Below are 15,445 nucleotides of genomic sequence, written 5' to 3'. Positions count from 1 at the left end.
TTAGAAAGGTGTGTGTCCCATGTCGAGTGCTATACAAGTGTTTGGTAAAACTGACCCTCCCTTTTTCTCCCTTGGCATCTGCAGCACTCTCAAAAGAGGTCCTCTGGCCCTAAAGATATTCCATAAAATTCCTTTCCATGTTTCTGGACTTATTTTGAAAGATTAATTTAGTCTTGGGCATTGGATATTTACATTTTTAAAACCGAGTTCTCCTCTAAGATTTCTCAAGTAAACCACCAAGTTTTAATTTTTTCTAATTGTTATGGTTAAAGAAAAACAGATTATCTTCATAGGAAGTGCCCAAGGTCTCATATTTAGGATATTTTAAGAGATACAGTCAATTATCACATTTGTACTCAGTACCACAAGGATAAAAATGGCTTTTGCTGCCATTCCTTCAGGGTTCTGTGGATCATCTCAATTCTTTGTCTTGCTAACTAGCCCACATCTGCTGCCAGGTGATGTCTAACCTGCTGATGATGCTTTTCATCTGGCTATCTTTTTCTTCCTGCTGTCTTCGGAGCCGCTCCTCGCTGTCCTCCAGTCGGGCCTTGTATTCCAGCAGCAGCTTCTGCATCTGCTGCTCCTGCACCAGCAAGCGGCGTTCATATTCCTCCAGTCGCCGGCTGGAAACTCTCAGGCGCTCCTTCAGTTTAGTAATTTCTTGTTCATACTAGGGCAGAGGAGGCAAGGAGACAAAAACTAGAGTCACATTGCTTTTAGAAATCAGTGATTTACTTTTCTTTCTTTCTCTTTCTTTCTTTTTTTCTTTTTCTTTTTTCTTTTTTTTAACAAAAGAAACCCTAAGCAGTGTAGCTAGATGCTGGCTGTGCTGTCATTCCCTATACTGTTCTTAATATTCTTTATAATTATCAACTGGCATAAATGTTAATGGAGCATTGCCTTCCTTACTAAAATTACATTTTAAATCTTAACTTGGCATTCCAAATTCTACATATATATGTATCTCTCTCTACACTAGGCTACCATTGCTATAAGCCACATCCAATCTGTGATGGTATCAAATGAAAGGGGGAAAAAAAAACCAGATGAAGTACTTAAAAGTCTGACAAATCACTTAAAATAAGCCAAAAGTCAGTTGTCTATAAGAGAAAAAGATTCTGTGTCATCATCTGCACTGTAGGATCTCTGATGTGTCTTAGCTCATCAGACTGCCATTCCTTTGTTCTACTAGAATCAGCCCTACAGAGAACAAGCAACATTTCTATAATGTTAAGCCCATGAATCAATAAGACTTTCATGGCAGAGGTTATTGCTGCTTTTTCCCCAACTATAAAAGTGTAAAGTATTCCAGTCACAAGCACTAAACAAAGGCCTACATGTTCTCTAGGGCCAATTAATATTGCTTCTTTGCCCATTTTTGTAATATGACTCACCTGCCCAATTTTGTACTGCTTGCTGGAACATACATGTTTGTGTTCTAAGGAGCTTTACATAAATTCAGTGACTCAATTAGTTACATGGCCCTTTCCTGTACTGTAGTTGCTGTGGCTGGGGTTTGAGTACACTGGAATATCATGCTGATAAAAAGAAGCTAATTGTCTGGTTGTCAATTAAATAATATAATGCTATATATGATGACAAGGTTCTTGTTTGATAACCCTTTTACCCCTTGTCAACTTTTCCTTAAAAAACAAAAAAACAAAATCTAAACAATAGATAATATCCTTTTAACAGTCATTTATAGAGCTATACATTCTTTATCCAGAAAAGGCAAAAAAAAAAAAAAAAAAAAAAAAACAACTAAAACCAAAACCTAATTGTTACCAAGATAAACAAAAAGTCTTGCCCTAGGGTAATTTTGTCCTTGGGTGAAGACCAACAAGTTTATGGAAACACAGAAACATGAAATATTTACCTAAAATGACTAGAAATGAATAGTAGAGTGTCCTCTAGATTAAGGCATCTACATTAAAAAAAATAGTAGCTAACTGCCACCCCCTAGCAAGATGAACATTTTCCATGTATATTCACACACACACACACACACACACACACACACACCACTGACCTATTTTACATAGATATGTATAGGATGATTAACATAAGGGGTAGAGGTGAAGATGGGGGTGGGATGAGTTTATGTTCTTAGCTAGATAACCTTTTTAGTGGCCTGTCATTTTGGGATCAGAAAGTTGATGAAGCAGACTAGGTTCTACCTTCTCAGCATGCTTGGCTTCATCTAGATTTTGCTCAGTTTCTTCCACATCCTCTTCATACTGCCCATTGTTCAGAACCCAGGCTGCTGTCCTCTCTACTGGGGACATTGTGGCAGAGTCCACAGGTGACTGAACCTGCATCAGAAACAGTTATTAGCATTTCCCCTAACAGCTCACCCGTGTGCTATGTTTCACAAACAGCTATTCTTGGAAGACATTAACTGTGATCTCTCAGTTTTCTAATAAATGCTCTTAGCTTTAAGTATTATTTTACTAATGCCAAGGCTAGGGGTGGGGAAAGAGAATATACATTTGTATAAGTGCAAACTATTCTGAATAGAAAGTTGCATATATCATATCCAAGAGGCATCCTTATTCTCCCTCTAAAGAAAGTCAAAGCCTTAAAATTGTTAATTTGCCCAGTGGTCCAAATACTGGTAGGTAACAAATTGCCTGCTGAAATTAATAAATGACCTCTGCCATAAAAGTCTTTTATGCCATAAAAGTCTATTTGATGATTAAATAAGAGAAAGAAAGCATAACCTGATGGTCAAAATATCTGTTTAGCCCAGACACAATCAGAAACCAAAAAACTGATTAGTGCTAAACAAACTCACAAAGTGCCCATTTATATATCAGAATGGCAAATACTAGGTTGGTGCAAAAGTAATTGTGGGTTAAATGGCAAAACCTGCAATTACTTTTGCACCAGTCTATTTAGTTTTCATATTATTGATTTAGAGAAAAAGAAGGACAAGTGATGCTGGTTATCTTTACAGAACACTGACTTCATGATGGATTAAGATCACTCAAGGGTCCTTATACTGGAAAATTTCTTGAATACAGGATCAAAATGATGGATACTGGGTAGTCTATTTTCCTAATCTACTGAATAGACATACCAACACTGTCACCACCACCTATCTTGATCATCTCATAGGGAGCTGTGAGGATAAGACAATATATTTGAAAATTCTTTGGAAACTTCAGAGTGCTACAGAGAGGTTAGGTGTCAGTCATTACAATATTTATGTTTCAAAAACTAGCATTAGATATTACAATTTATATTAGGCTATTGAACATTAGTGCTTTCTCCACAAACAATGATGGAAACACACAATTTTTTTCCCCTCTGTCCTGCCTCAGAGAGAGAGAGTAAGCTAAAGAGAGAGTACAAAACTTGGCATGTGAGTTAGCCTTTTATAATTAAATAGAGGGATTTGTATTTTAAGGACCAGAATTCCATAATTTCATAATTGAAGGGCATTTTCTCCCCTATCACAGCCATTACATCTTAAGGATCTTTATACCATTCTGAAATAGAACTCAGTTAAACTCTAAATAAATATTTTAAAAGAAGGGGTATTTTGATGAACTGGAGAGTGAGGAAGACCAGATTAAAAAACTGATTGCAGAGACTAAAAGGCTATCAGAGATGGGTTGGGAGAGACTTTAAAACTTACACATGCAAAAGTAACATAGGGACATTTCTTAAAGGTGTGAAGAAAGATCTGGTTTAGTCGATTTACAGATTATAGTTATATATCAATAAAAATAGCTTCATGCCTGAGGATGGATGTGCATAGTTTATATAAATAGACCCGTACACACTAAGCAATTGTGAATGAACTTCTAGAAATTTCTACTATTTTGTTGGTCAAATCTTATTTTCAGCCACTTCCTAATATATCCTAGCACTTTGCTTGGCATACAGTAGGTGGTCAAAATAATAAAAATAAAAGTGACAAAATAGATCAATCCTAACTATTCCTTCTATTAATGATAAAGCCTTCACAAAATTGTAAAAAGGCTAGAAATATAGAATAAATAAAAAATAGTTATTGTGCTAGATTGAAAGGAAACAGAGGTGATTTTTGTTTCATGAATTTTTTTGTTGTAGTATGTTCTTCAAATGAAAAAACTATATACTATCTTTTATATATTCTTGGTCTTATAAGCGTTGCTCTTATTTTCCAATTAGTCAATCTAATGGGCATCATATCATACAGTTCTTTTAAATGATACTGACTAGTTAAATACACAACAGATGCTCAATAAAATATTATTCATTTATTATTCTGGATTATCTTTAGAATTCATTACTAAAATATAATTTATTACTTAGAGAATATTCTATGTTTTTCCCCTAATCCTTTGGAAGGGCACCAAAGGCTTCTTTTCAATGATTGTTCCATCTCCTTATAAGCTGGATAAATAGCAAAAAATATCTCTAGTTTATAGTCCAAAAAATTGAGGGAGGAGGTTAGTAAGTGGTTCAGATTCCATCTTGCTTAGGAATGGCCTTAGAAAGAGAATTTATATCCACTGACTTTCAACATGATCATCAAAGATAATGAAAAAGACAAAAAGAAAAAGGAGCAGGAATTCCCATTAGGAATATCTTCCCTTTGAGATAAAGCTGTATAGGGTTTCCCTGGAAAAACAGTAACGCTTTAGGGCAAAAGAGCCTGATGCAGCAGTTTCACTGATACTACAATTAATCATAGCCTGGCTATGCTGAGGCCAGTTCCTCGTTCCTTGCTAGTATTTACTAGACATAAACAAGACCAATTGGTTTCAGCTTCATAGTGTGAAATAGTCGGATTCCCATAAATGAATAACCCTTCTGCTATCAACACCAAAGAAAGGGCCGAATAAATTAATCCACAAACTTTGGGAGTTCTTGAAGAGGTTGGTTAAGAGACAGTTCAACAAATCTAAATGTGAAAACTGCAGCATCATATTAACAGGCTTGTCAATTATCTATTTTAAAAGGTCTCTTCAAATTCAAATTTCTAAGATTAGAGTACATGATAAATCTGAACAACTCATATATATAAAGTCTACTGTTTGTACGAAGTAGATGATACATGAAAAACAAAATAGAGAGGAAAATAAGAAAAAAGCAATACAAACAGAGGCTGAAATGGGTTAAAAAATTAAGAGAGTTTCTTGAAAAAAAATTTATCTGTGAATTTTTTCACCAGGATTTTATTTCCTTCCTACTCATTAGACGTAGAAGACTGAAGCCAGTTACTCTGCAGACAATGGCCACTACTTTGTGCTAAGATATAAATGGAATTTGCATGGGACAAAGCTACTGATAATTACAGCCGCCTACAGAACAATCCCCACAAAGAAATCCTCTAGTTTCTGGGAGAGAATTCCCCAACACAATTTGCAATTAAAATATGTAAAGGAATTTGCCTTAAAAATGTGCTGATTATATAGAACTTCAGAGGCTTCATGGGAGTGAGATGAACAAAGCAAGCAAGAAACAGATAAGAAATAAAAAACTAGGCCAGGCACGGTGGCTCACTCCTGTAATCAAAGCACTTTGGGAGGCCGAGGCAGGTGGATCACTTGAGGTCAGGAGTTCAAGACCAACCTGGCCAACATGATGAAACCCCACCTCTACTAAAAATACAAAAATTAGCCAGGCGTGGTGGTGGGCATCTGTAATCCCAGCTACTCAGGAGGCTGAGACAGGAGAACTGCTTGAACCTGGGAGGCGGAAGTTACAGTGAGCCGAGATCGTGCCACTGCACTCCAGCCTAGGCGACAGAGCAAGACTCTGTTTCAAAAAAATAAAAATAAAAATAAAAAACTAACAATGTAAGTTCAAAACAATGAACCAAAAGCCAGTGTAGGAAAAAAAAAAGAAACTTGAGCAATCAAAATACGGTGATTTATGCTTCAACTGATAGGACAGTGGCAGTACCAGCAAAAGTATAAACAAAGATTAATATTCAAAGCTGTACCTGGACATCTCACTGTGCCTGTACCCCACTTCATGCCAAAAAATATATTTGGTGACTCATTAATGGCTGTGACACAAAAACTAATTTTTATATTGGTTGTTTGGAGACTGTATGCATTTCCTACCTCCCATCCATCCAGGCAGCCCTCTAATCATAACCCACAGAAACATGTATTATGTGCTTATGCGATAGGTATTGTATTTTCCTAAAGAAAAAATGTTATAAATGACAACTGGTTCCAGATGAGCACAAAAAAGGCTATTTAATTTATAATATTAATAAACAACCAGCCTGAGTCATAGGCCCTCCATGATACAGAAGGAAAGGGTAAGCAAAAGAAAAAAAAAAGAATCTTTATTTTCCTTTTCTGTACAGGGCTGGGCCTAAGTACACTTTTGAAAAGCAGGTGGAGGACACTTTCCCTGTCCTGTCCCTCTCTGCCAGATCTCATGCTCTTCGCTAATCCTATTTTATCTTCAGTGCCCTTGTGCTGCCCTAAGTCCCTGAGTAGATATTTGCTTCTACACAGTATTCTGATTTCTAAAATTATGTATTTTTTCCTTTCTCCTCCCAATAAACATCTTAATTCTCTGAAAGTAGTTGATCGCAACTAGAATCTAGCACAAAAGTGATGTGAGGAAACTACTTCACAATAAGGTAGGAATGACTGATAGCCTTCTAACACATACATTTTATGCTTATATACACATACACATTTATATATAAAAAATACATATGATACATATAAAAGATATCTATTTTTCCTTTTCTTCAAATAAAAATGCTTACTAAATCAAATGATTTGGTAAAATTTTGGGAAATATAACAAAATAAAAATGAAAAATTTAAGACTGTAGAAAAACTTTATTACTCAGTAAAAAATGACCAACTAGGAGGTTTAGCCCAGGAAGTCTGCTTCCAGAAACAGCTTAAGTTAGTCATGCTTTTCATCCCTTCTTCTATTTCTGTATCCAAGGATTCTATAAATAATCCAATTAAAAAATCAAAGTAGGTGCAAGGGGCTCTGATCATAGCAGACTGGAGGCAGAGGCAGCCATATAGGTAAGTGCCTAAACTGTAAAAATGCAAATATATAACAGATACAAACTAGGATTTTATTGCAGTCTCCCTGCCCAGTTATTTTGCTGCATAAAAGGATTTGTCATAGAACTCTTTTAATCTCAAGTTTTTTAGTACTATCATTAGGTTTCAAAAAAAATTCAACTAATACAATGCTTTTTTAGGAGAAAAATCTTTTTAGATGAAAGATATATAAAGATATATATTATATACATGAAAAATTATATGAATGTGTATATTATATATTTAACAGTAGTTTGTTTCAAAGGGAAAAATATGTATTGATGCTTCAAAATGTAATATTTAAGGAAGAAATGATTAGTTTCTTGGCAAAGCTTTTTATTTGTCAATAAAAAAATTAGAAAAACTTATATTAAGATTGGATGTGATGTTAGCTGGGCTTGTCCATGTAAATAGAAATGTAAGGGATTTGCAGATGTTTAGAATACTTCCTTTTCCACCTGTGCTTCTATCTTTTTACTCTCTCCTTTACCTTGACTCTACAGGTGTTCAAGTGTTTATTTTTCTAGCTATTTCCAGGAAAAGCCACATGGGACTTTGTATTTCCAGAAGGAGTTGAGGGATGGAATGGAGAGCAGTCATATTAAACTCTTGGCTCGGAATGCAAACCTTTATTCTGGAAGCTTAAGAAAAAAAATTAAGAAGGATTAATTTTCAGATTTCCAAAATAATAGCTGGTTTTGCCTACAGATTTTAAGTATCTAATTATTCATTCAACATCATAGATTTGCTCTAAGTGCAAACTGAGGTAGCAGCTCTGCTGCTTGAAGAGAAGGAAGGGGGCCTCTGCGTGTTTGTTAGACTCTTAAGGGTAATGAGTCAAACTACATTCTGTAGTCACACCTGGGCAGAAGCCTCCCAAATTTTTCCTTTCCTCTTTCCATTTAAAGGTTGCTTTTAAGAGGAAATCTTGTTAACAATAGGATTTCCCAATGATTTATGTATAAAGAACCAAGGAAACAGATGGACCAAGTAGAAGCCAGGCCCCTTCAGCACTCACACCTACCTGCTGTGTCTGTTGTCTCTGGATTGCTCTAACTTTGGGAACAGGGCTCTCTCTGGAGGAAGAGGACTGCTGCCGGGACCGGCTCCCATTCTGCACAGGTTCGGCCACCAGGGCTGCGGACACCACTGACATGCTCCCGGTGCTACGTAAAGAAGCACTGTGTGGCAGGGATGGTGGGGCTTTGGCTCGGGCACCTAACCCACCCTGGTCCACTTTTCGGATCTGGGCCTGCCCAGTACTATTTTGTCGTGGCAAAGCAAGAGGTATGTGTCTATCTGGCACCGTGTGCCGCCTGGAGAAGTCCTCACTCTGAGTGCTACGTTTAGTGAAATCTTCCATGCTGCTATTGCTGGGTCCACTGAGCTTGAAGTCTTCACTGTTACTTTGGCTTCTGGAACTGGCAGTGCTTAGGTTCTCCAAACTGGAATCTATAGAGGCCTTTGGCATTGCTGGAATTGGGTTATTGAGGTGATAGACAGGGTTCTGGAACGACAAGGGCTGAAGGCCACCTGGCTGGTTCAAGGCTGGGTGCAGGGGCCTTCTCACTTGGGGTGCACTTTGGGGAGTGCTCTGGGTTTCCCGCAGCTGTTTGATGCTGGCCACCTGGGTTATGGAAAGCTGGCTTCCGGTCAAGCGTATAGGCACATCAAGCATGACAGATGCATGCTCCACTTGAGCAGCATGAGTGTCCTGGAGGTCCATGAGGGAGACGCTCCGACCATTAGGAAGGCTACTTTCCCTTTCATCCTTTTCAGAATAAGTCATGCTCTGAGAGGAGGCTTGCTGAACCAGCAATAATGTTTTCCCTCTGAAGTAGCTGTCTGTGTTGTCCTGGCTTGGAGATTTTAGTTTATGCAAATCACTGTGGAAAAGGAAAGGACACTTAATTTCTCTTGAGACAACTTCAACATGGCTAAGATGCCTCAATTCAGGCATATGAACTCCTCCGAAGGTTCTTATGTGGATACGTACATTTCTTTGGAAACTCAGATTTTATCTAATTAGGGAATTATTACAATGCTTAGAATAAAATCCAGCATTTTTACTTTTTCCCCAAAGGTACAGAATAACACTGTAGATACCAACCCATCACTGTCTTCAGTTTTAACCAGGATTCCAATAATTTCCTAGTTAGGTTTTAAACCTTCCCCAAATATTCCAATTCATACTTACTTGTCTAAACCTTCAAGAGAAGAAGTTCTAAGCACACAACTGAAAGGTCCCTGCAAAAGGCACAAGTCTTGCCAATCCCTAAAACAGTCTAAGCATCGACATTGTATCTACCTGTCCAGTTGACATAGCCAGCTATAAAATGGTTTTAACCGAGGTTCTCCAAGATTTTGAATGCTATAACGTACAGAAACATGAATTTCATAAAGCCTTTAGTCTTCCACTAAGCAAGACAGAAATTTTAAAAATATGCTTGTGGAATATATTGTAACTCTCTATACTACCATTCTAGAAAATAAGTCATCCCAGATCTTGTGCATTATTATGACAAATAATTGGACTGCTCTCAGGTCAGATGAGTCTTCAGTTGCTCATGATTTTAAACTTGTAAATTCAACAAATAGGTTGAATATACTTCTGCTAAATCTAAACATTATGTTTCTCCGAGATAGTGGTCAAATTCTCTCTTTCATACCTGTCAGTGGGGTCTTCAAATATTTTCTGCAGCCCAGAGGAGAGGCTTCCACTGACATTTGGACTGGAGTTATGTTCAGTGAAGCGTCTCAGTTGCTGTTGTATTGGCGTAGGATTAGTCAATGACTTGGTAATATCAGCAAGAACACGAGGGAGAGGCCCCAATTTTGCCACGGTCGCCTGTAGGAAGGAATTTTCACCCTAATTGGATAATAAGCATTGCGACATCCACCACAGATTGTTTTTGGCACAACGATGGCCATTGATGGAGGGGTGTAGGTTGGAGGGAAGGGTAAGTGTTTGCATATGGGAGTGGCAGGTTCATAATGCATTGTTATGGAGCAGCAGAACCATGGCGTCGAGATGAATGGAGGAGGCGAAACAAGGTGCGGCAGACATCGAGGAAAGAAAGGAAATCGAAATCAGGATTATGCAAGTAAAAATTAAAAGACATGCTCAAAACTACCAAACTAATGCCATTCCAACTAAAATAGGCATGCGAAGCAAACTAAATCTTTGGGAGGCTAGTAGATCAAGGTGGGGGAGGGTGGAGGCAGAACCAAATTCCTTCTAACCAAAAGAACTTCAAGATCAGAGGATCAACTAGTATGATAAACTTTCAAAGAAAAGGGATCATGTGAGAAAAGAAATGCATGCCAACATATAAGAAGGTGCTCATTCAGGAATCCAGAGTACTGCAGGGCACACAGATGATACTGCCATCCACTATCCCAGTCAATCTTGGGAACCCTGACCCACTGCCAACTGAGTTTCCATCAGTAAGACAATTTTTATTGTTAATTTAACAGCAAAATCAGGTAAACTTCCTCTATGAGATATGTCTAGATGTATTCCTGGTTCCCAGGACCAAACACAGATTAAAAAGGAGAAAGTGTGTTTACATAGCAAAGCCCGTTAAAAAGACTTTGATCCTGAATAAACCAGGCCCATTTCACAGGAAAACTGAATCTGCATTCCACTGAGATGCAGTTATTCAACAAAGACGAACTCTTTAATACTTGCTTTATCCATTTCAATCATTTTTTTATTTAGGGAATTCTTATTCTCATGGGGTCTTAGGGGTCCCCTTCAACTGTCAGTCAGTTTGGCATAGCTGCCTTTGGGTCTTTGCCTTCTCAACAATCAACAGACTCTTCTACCCTACTCAAACAGGGATAGATGCCACCAAGGCCTTTACTTGCTCAATAATGTTGGGCTACGATTCACATGAAAAGGGTTTATCTTTGGCATAGCTGCAACTTAAAAATCTAGCTAGCATTTCTAAAAGTGAAGAAAAGGTCCTCGAGAATAAGGAACAGTTTATTGTTTTACAAATATTTTAAGCACTGGAGGACACATTACCACATATGTTTCCTCAGCAAAGTGGTCTTTGTTAATAGGTTTTATTCCCCTTCAAATTTTACTGATATAGCATTTTTATTGATAGGAAAATAGAGGAAAATAAGTAGATCATTATCATAGAAAAATGACTGTCTTTTGAAGTTATTCTAACATACCACCACACATATTTATAAAGTGCCTGTAGCAAACAAAAACATCAATAAATAATTATTGTAATAAGCCTAGCCAACGTCTTTTAGACTATTTTTTACTACCAAATCTATTCCTTTTTGTTAAATTCCAGAAGGAAGAAAATGATTGGCATGGTGTATATTTACTTATTAATACGGTATATAATAAAATTCTTAGCAAACGATTAAAAATAATTGCTTTCTGTATTCTTAATTCACATCTGTAAAGAAAGAAAACAATGACTGTTAGCACTAATAATTATATGAAACTCTATGACTTGTATAGTAAAAAAATTTGTTTCATGGGTAGTTACTTAAAACATGATAAACCTAGTATTTTCTTAGCTAAATCTATACTTTTATTAGAAATTACTATATGAGGTTTCATCTTATCCTATTAGACATGCATAAGGCTGTATATACCAATATATTAGTTTCTAGTCAAGTTTTCAGATATGCACTCTGTATATATAAATTTAGAGAAATATACTCCATTAATTCAGATAATTATTAAAAACATATATTAATAATGTCATGGTTTTCTAGAGTTTCATGGTTGTCGATCTCATATTTTACTCAGAAATGATGACCATTTACTCTCAGATTTCTAGGGTAAACAGTTGCTTTCAATTAGCAGAAAGAGTGAGTGCTATCACTCTATAGTTACTTTCCAGAATTCAGGTACATTAAAGTTCTCTATCTTCCACCAACCTACTTTACCTTATCAAGTTGGGAAACTACTTCCCACAGTAAGGAATGCAAAACTGAAAGCTCTCGGCCCAGATCAATGTAACCATCAAAGCCTGGGGTGTTTGAGATGGTGTCTGGATTAGAGATCTCCAAAAGAAAGCGCTTCATTCCACCCCATTCATGTTCTAAAAAATCATTCATGAATGCCATGTATTCCTCTTTGTTACCAAACCTGAAGTAGAGGATGAGAAAATGAGAAAGAACATATTCAAGAGAGATATGATCATTTTGATTTGACATTACACAGAACTATTACTTTTTTTTATTTTGTGGAGGGAATGACTAATTTTGTTTATTATCTATAAGTGATAAATGTTATAACATACTTTCTTAATATCACTTTAATATTCTAATGCTTTGAGAATAGCTTTCTATTCTCTCTAAAGGGTAAAGCCAAAACTCCTTTTTTTTTTTTTTTTTTTAGTTCTGGGATTTAAATTTCTCTGCAATATAGCCCTCACTTACCTACCAAAAGCTCACCAGTACAAACCTTCAATACTGCTAGCTTCTACAAAGTCTCCCAAATATATTACACATTTTTTTCTTCTCCAAGCTTTTGCCCATGCTATTTACTTGCACTAGAGAAAAACTTCTCTCCTTTGCCTATCTAGATTCTAGCTATCTGCAGGGCCTAGTTTAAGTCCATAAAACCTGTTCCAAAATAAAATATAAATATTTTTAGCTCAAATATCGATAAATATGTATATTTCTGCATTGGCTTATATATAAATTATACAAAATTAAAATAGTACACCTCTAAAAAGCCACCACTTATACTAGAAAACAATCTGTTCACTGAAGTTCCAATTTTTTTCTTCAATACATTGCTAACAGAAACTTGTCTTTAAGCATCAATACTGAGTAAATCTGTGGTCAGTTCTGTAAATGTGAATTCCTTCCCAGCCATTTCTTAAATTTATTTTCTATAAATTATAAAAATATCATAAACTTACTGAAAAAAGTTTGAAACAATGAAAAGTAGAAAGAAAAAAGTGTGGATGTATCATTCAAGCTACCCAAATATATCTGCTGTTTATATTTTAGTACATTTCCTTCCCAACTGTTTTCTCCTAATTTTCTTTTGAAAAATTTTAAACCTACAGAAAAGTTGAAAGAATATACAATGAATACCCATATGCCTTTCATCTACAATAACCAACTGTTATATTTGCCAAGTTTGCTTTCACACCCTCTCTTTCTAGACAGATTTTTTTTTTTTTCTTTCTGGAACCATTTTAAACTAAGTTGCAGACATCACCTCTAAATAGTTTAGCGTCCATTTCTTCAGAATAAGGAATATCTCTTACATAAACCAATGCTATTATCACACTAAAACTTTTAAAAACATTATTCACGAATTATCTTATCTATATATTTAAATTCCACCCATTGCCCCCAAAAGGACATATATATATATTTTTCCAACTTAAGATCCAAATAAGTTTCAAGTATTGCATTTAATCTCTTTTAATCTAGAACAGCCCCCCTCCATCTTTTGCATTTTTCATAAAATTGTCTTTTTTGAAGTGGCCAGGATAATTGTCTTAGACATTGTAACCGCAGAATTTGTCTTTTCTTCCCAACTTTTTTTATACTTAGATTTTTGTGTTTTCATATTGCTGGGATAACAGTATACATACCACTTTTTATTCTGCCCTTTTTTTCCCACTAAAGTATTTTTATCAGCACTTTTAATATAATTTTATCTTCATGCTCTATATTATTAGATAGTTTTTGTAAACAGTTTGTAGTGCCTGCAAATATTCCATTGAATGCATGTATCATAGGTTACTTAACCATTCCTCTATGAAGTGATTAAGTTGTTTCCATTTTTTTGCTATATTTATTAATAACACAGTGAAAATCTGGTAACATGAGTGATGAGGCTCCCAACCCTCATCCAAATTTTAGGCCTCAAGTATTTTTTAAACTGTGTTTTTAAAGTGGTTACAACAGTATCACCTACTTGGCAAAGTTGGCCAGGTTCTGAATGACCTTGGCAATAAGAGTTAGAGTCCGAGATGTGCGGTCATCAGGATACTCCTGCATAAGGTTGAAAAGACTGGGAGACATAATGGCTGGACACAGAAAACGGAGAAATAATGAGGCACTGATGAGCCTCTCGCTGATGTCTTGCTTGCCACGGTTCAGGCACTGCTGCTTCCATGATGCAAACACTTCTTTCAACTCACGAGGGAAAACACTAGGGAAGGAAAGAAGTACCAAAACCTCTAAACACAGAAGTACCAGTACAAGCACAAGTGATTCCACCCTGACCCAATATACTTTTGCTTAAGAGTCAGGCTGTGAGGAGGACCTAGTAGAAATTCCGGGATGAGGTTTTACCTGATTCATGGCTGAGAGGCGGTGGAAAATTCACAGAGGCCAGATGGAGACTGGAAACCCAAGGCTACAGAACTCTGGATTAGTTTAAATTTAGTTTTGCAAAGTGGGAAAATGGCATGAGGCTCCTGACTAAACCATCTGGTTTAGTATAACTCACCATAATCTCTCTAAAGACTGTTTATCAAAAATCTTCCAAAATTTCGCCAATTGCTGGAGTTAGAGCAATGATCAAAATTCATGAACACATCTGTTCAACACTAGTAAATATTTTAGAAAGCAAAAGAAATACTTTTGATATTAGAGGCTATAGTACTAATATTCTATTAGAGAGATTATATTTATGTAGATAGCCAGTTCAAAAGTACTTCTGCTTACAATAGAGATTTCAATTTTAGACGGGACTGTATTAGGGAAACTTTCAATTTTTCTCCAAGACCCTCCCCTTTGGTTGTAAAATAATTGTTAACATTGTGATGACTTTTACATGAAAAAATGTAAGTTCCACTGTGATGACCTTTACATGAAAAAATGTAAGGCAGAGGATAAGATAAGCTCACCAGTAAGAGTTGATGATCTTGCAGAAAGCCAGCTCACAGCACATTTTCAGGTTGCTCTGATGGTCTATCAGTTCACTAGATGAACATTTGCTGGGATCCACTTCACAGTTCTCATCGGACTCATACAAAGCTTTGATAAACTCCCCTATTTGAAGAGAGAAGATAACGGTATAGCTATAAACAGTGTCTTCCTGAATAGAATAAAAGGACTTATGATTTCTGTCCTAAAACGTATAATGGGGAATTCTTTTCTAGATCTGACAGGGAGGGCACAAAAGATGGCCCATGAAGCCTCATTGCTTTGGAACCCAAGAGTTGCCACATCCTACATATCATGTTTATTTTTCTTATCCTGGAAGTGGAATAACAGCAATCACTAACATCATCATCACAGTATTTATAAAAGTGGTAATGATACTACTCAAAAAATGTATTAAACTAAATATATGTTTAATTAGTACAAACTTGTTATGTTTTAAGGCTCGCTCTACTTAGGTGACTATTATTGTTATTCTAGAAGAACAAATGACCCAAGCTTGATTGAATAGTCCAGTGAAGGTTTTAAGTG

General features: G+C 36.3%; 1 protein-coding gene across 19 annotated transcripts in view; it reads right to left on the bottom strand.

Moving 5' to 3' along the window:
- Positions 1-15,445, bottom strand: part of RASAL2 (RAS protein activator like 2) — a 384,747-nt gene that overhangs the window by 12,258 nt on the left and 357,044 nt on the right. For 10 of the 19 annotated variants that reach the window (NM_001437625.1, NM_001437626.1, XM_017002849.2 and 7 more), the window contains 7 exons: positions 14,878-15,022; positions 13,941-14,177; positions 11,945-12,146; positions 9,694-9,893; positions 8,049-8,910; positions 2,181-2,315; positions 471-673 (listed from right to left, as the gene is read on the bottom strand). In NM_001437625.1, coding sequence (NP_001424554.1) covers positions 471-673; positions 2,181-2,315; positions 8,049-8,910; positions 9,694-9,893; positions 11,945-12,146; positions 13,941-14,177; positions 14,878-15,022 — 1,984 coding nt within the window. The remainder of the gene's footprint in view (positions 1-470; positions 674-2,180; positions 2,316-8,048; positions 8,911-9,693; positions 9,894-11,944; positions 12,147-13,940; positions 14,178-14,877; positions 15,023-15,445) is intronic. The other 9 variants (NM_001437627.1, NM_170692.4, XM_017002851.2 and 6 more) reach the window with 1 other exon arrangement.

Source organism: Homo sapiens, chromosome 1 (genome assembly GCF_000001405.40).
Source record: "Homo sapiens chromosome 1, GRCh38.p14 Primary Assembly".
NCBI lineage: Eukaryota > Metazoa > Chordata > Mammalia > Primates > Hominidae > Homo > Homo sapiens.
The sequence above is the reverse complement of the archived record's forward strand: the minus strand, read 5'-3'. Positions and strand labels throughout refer to the sequence as shown.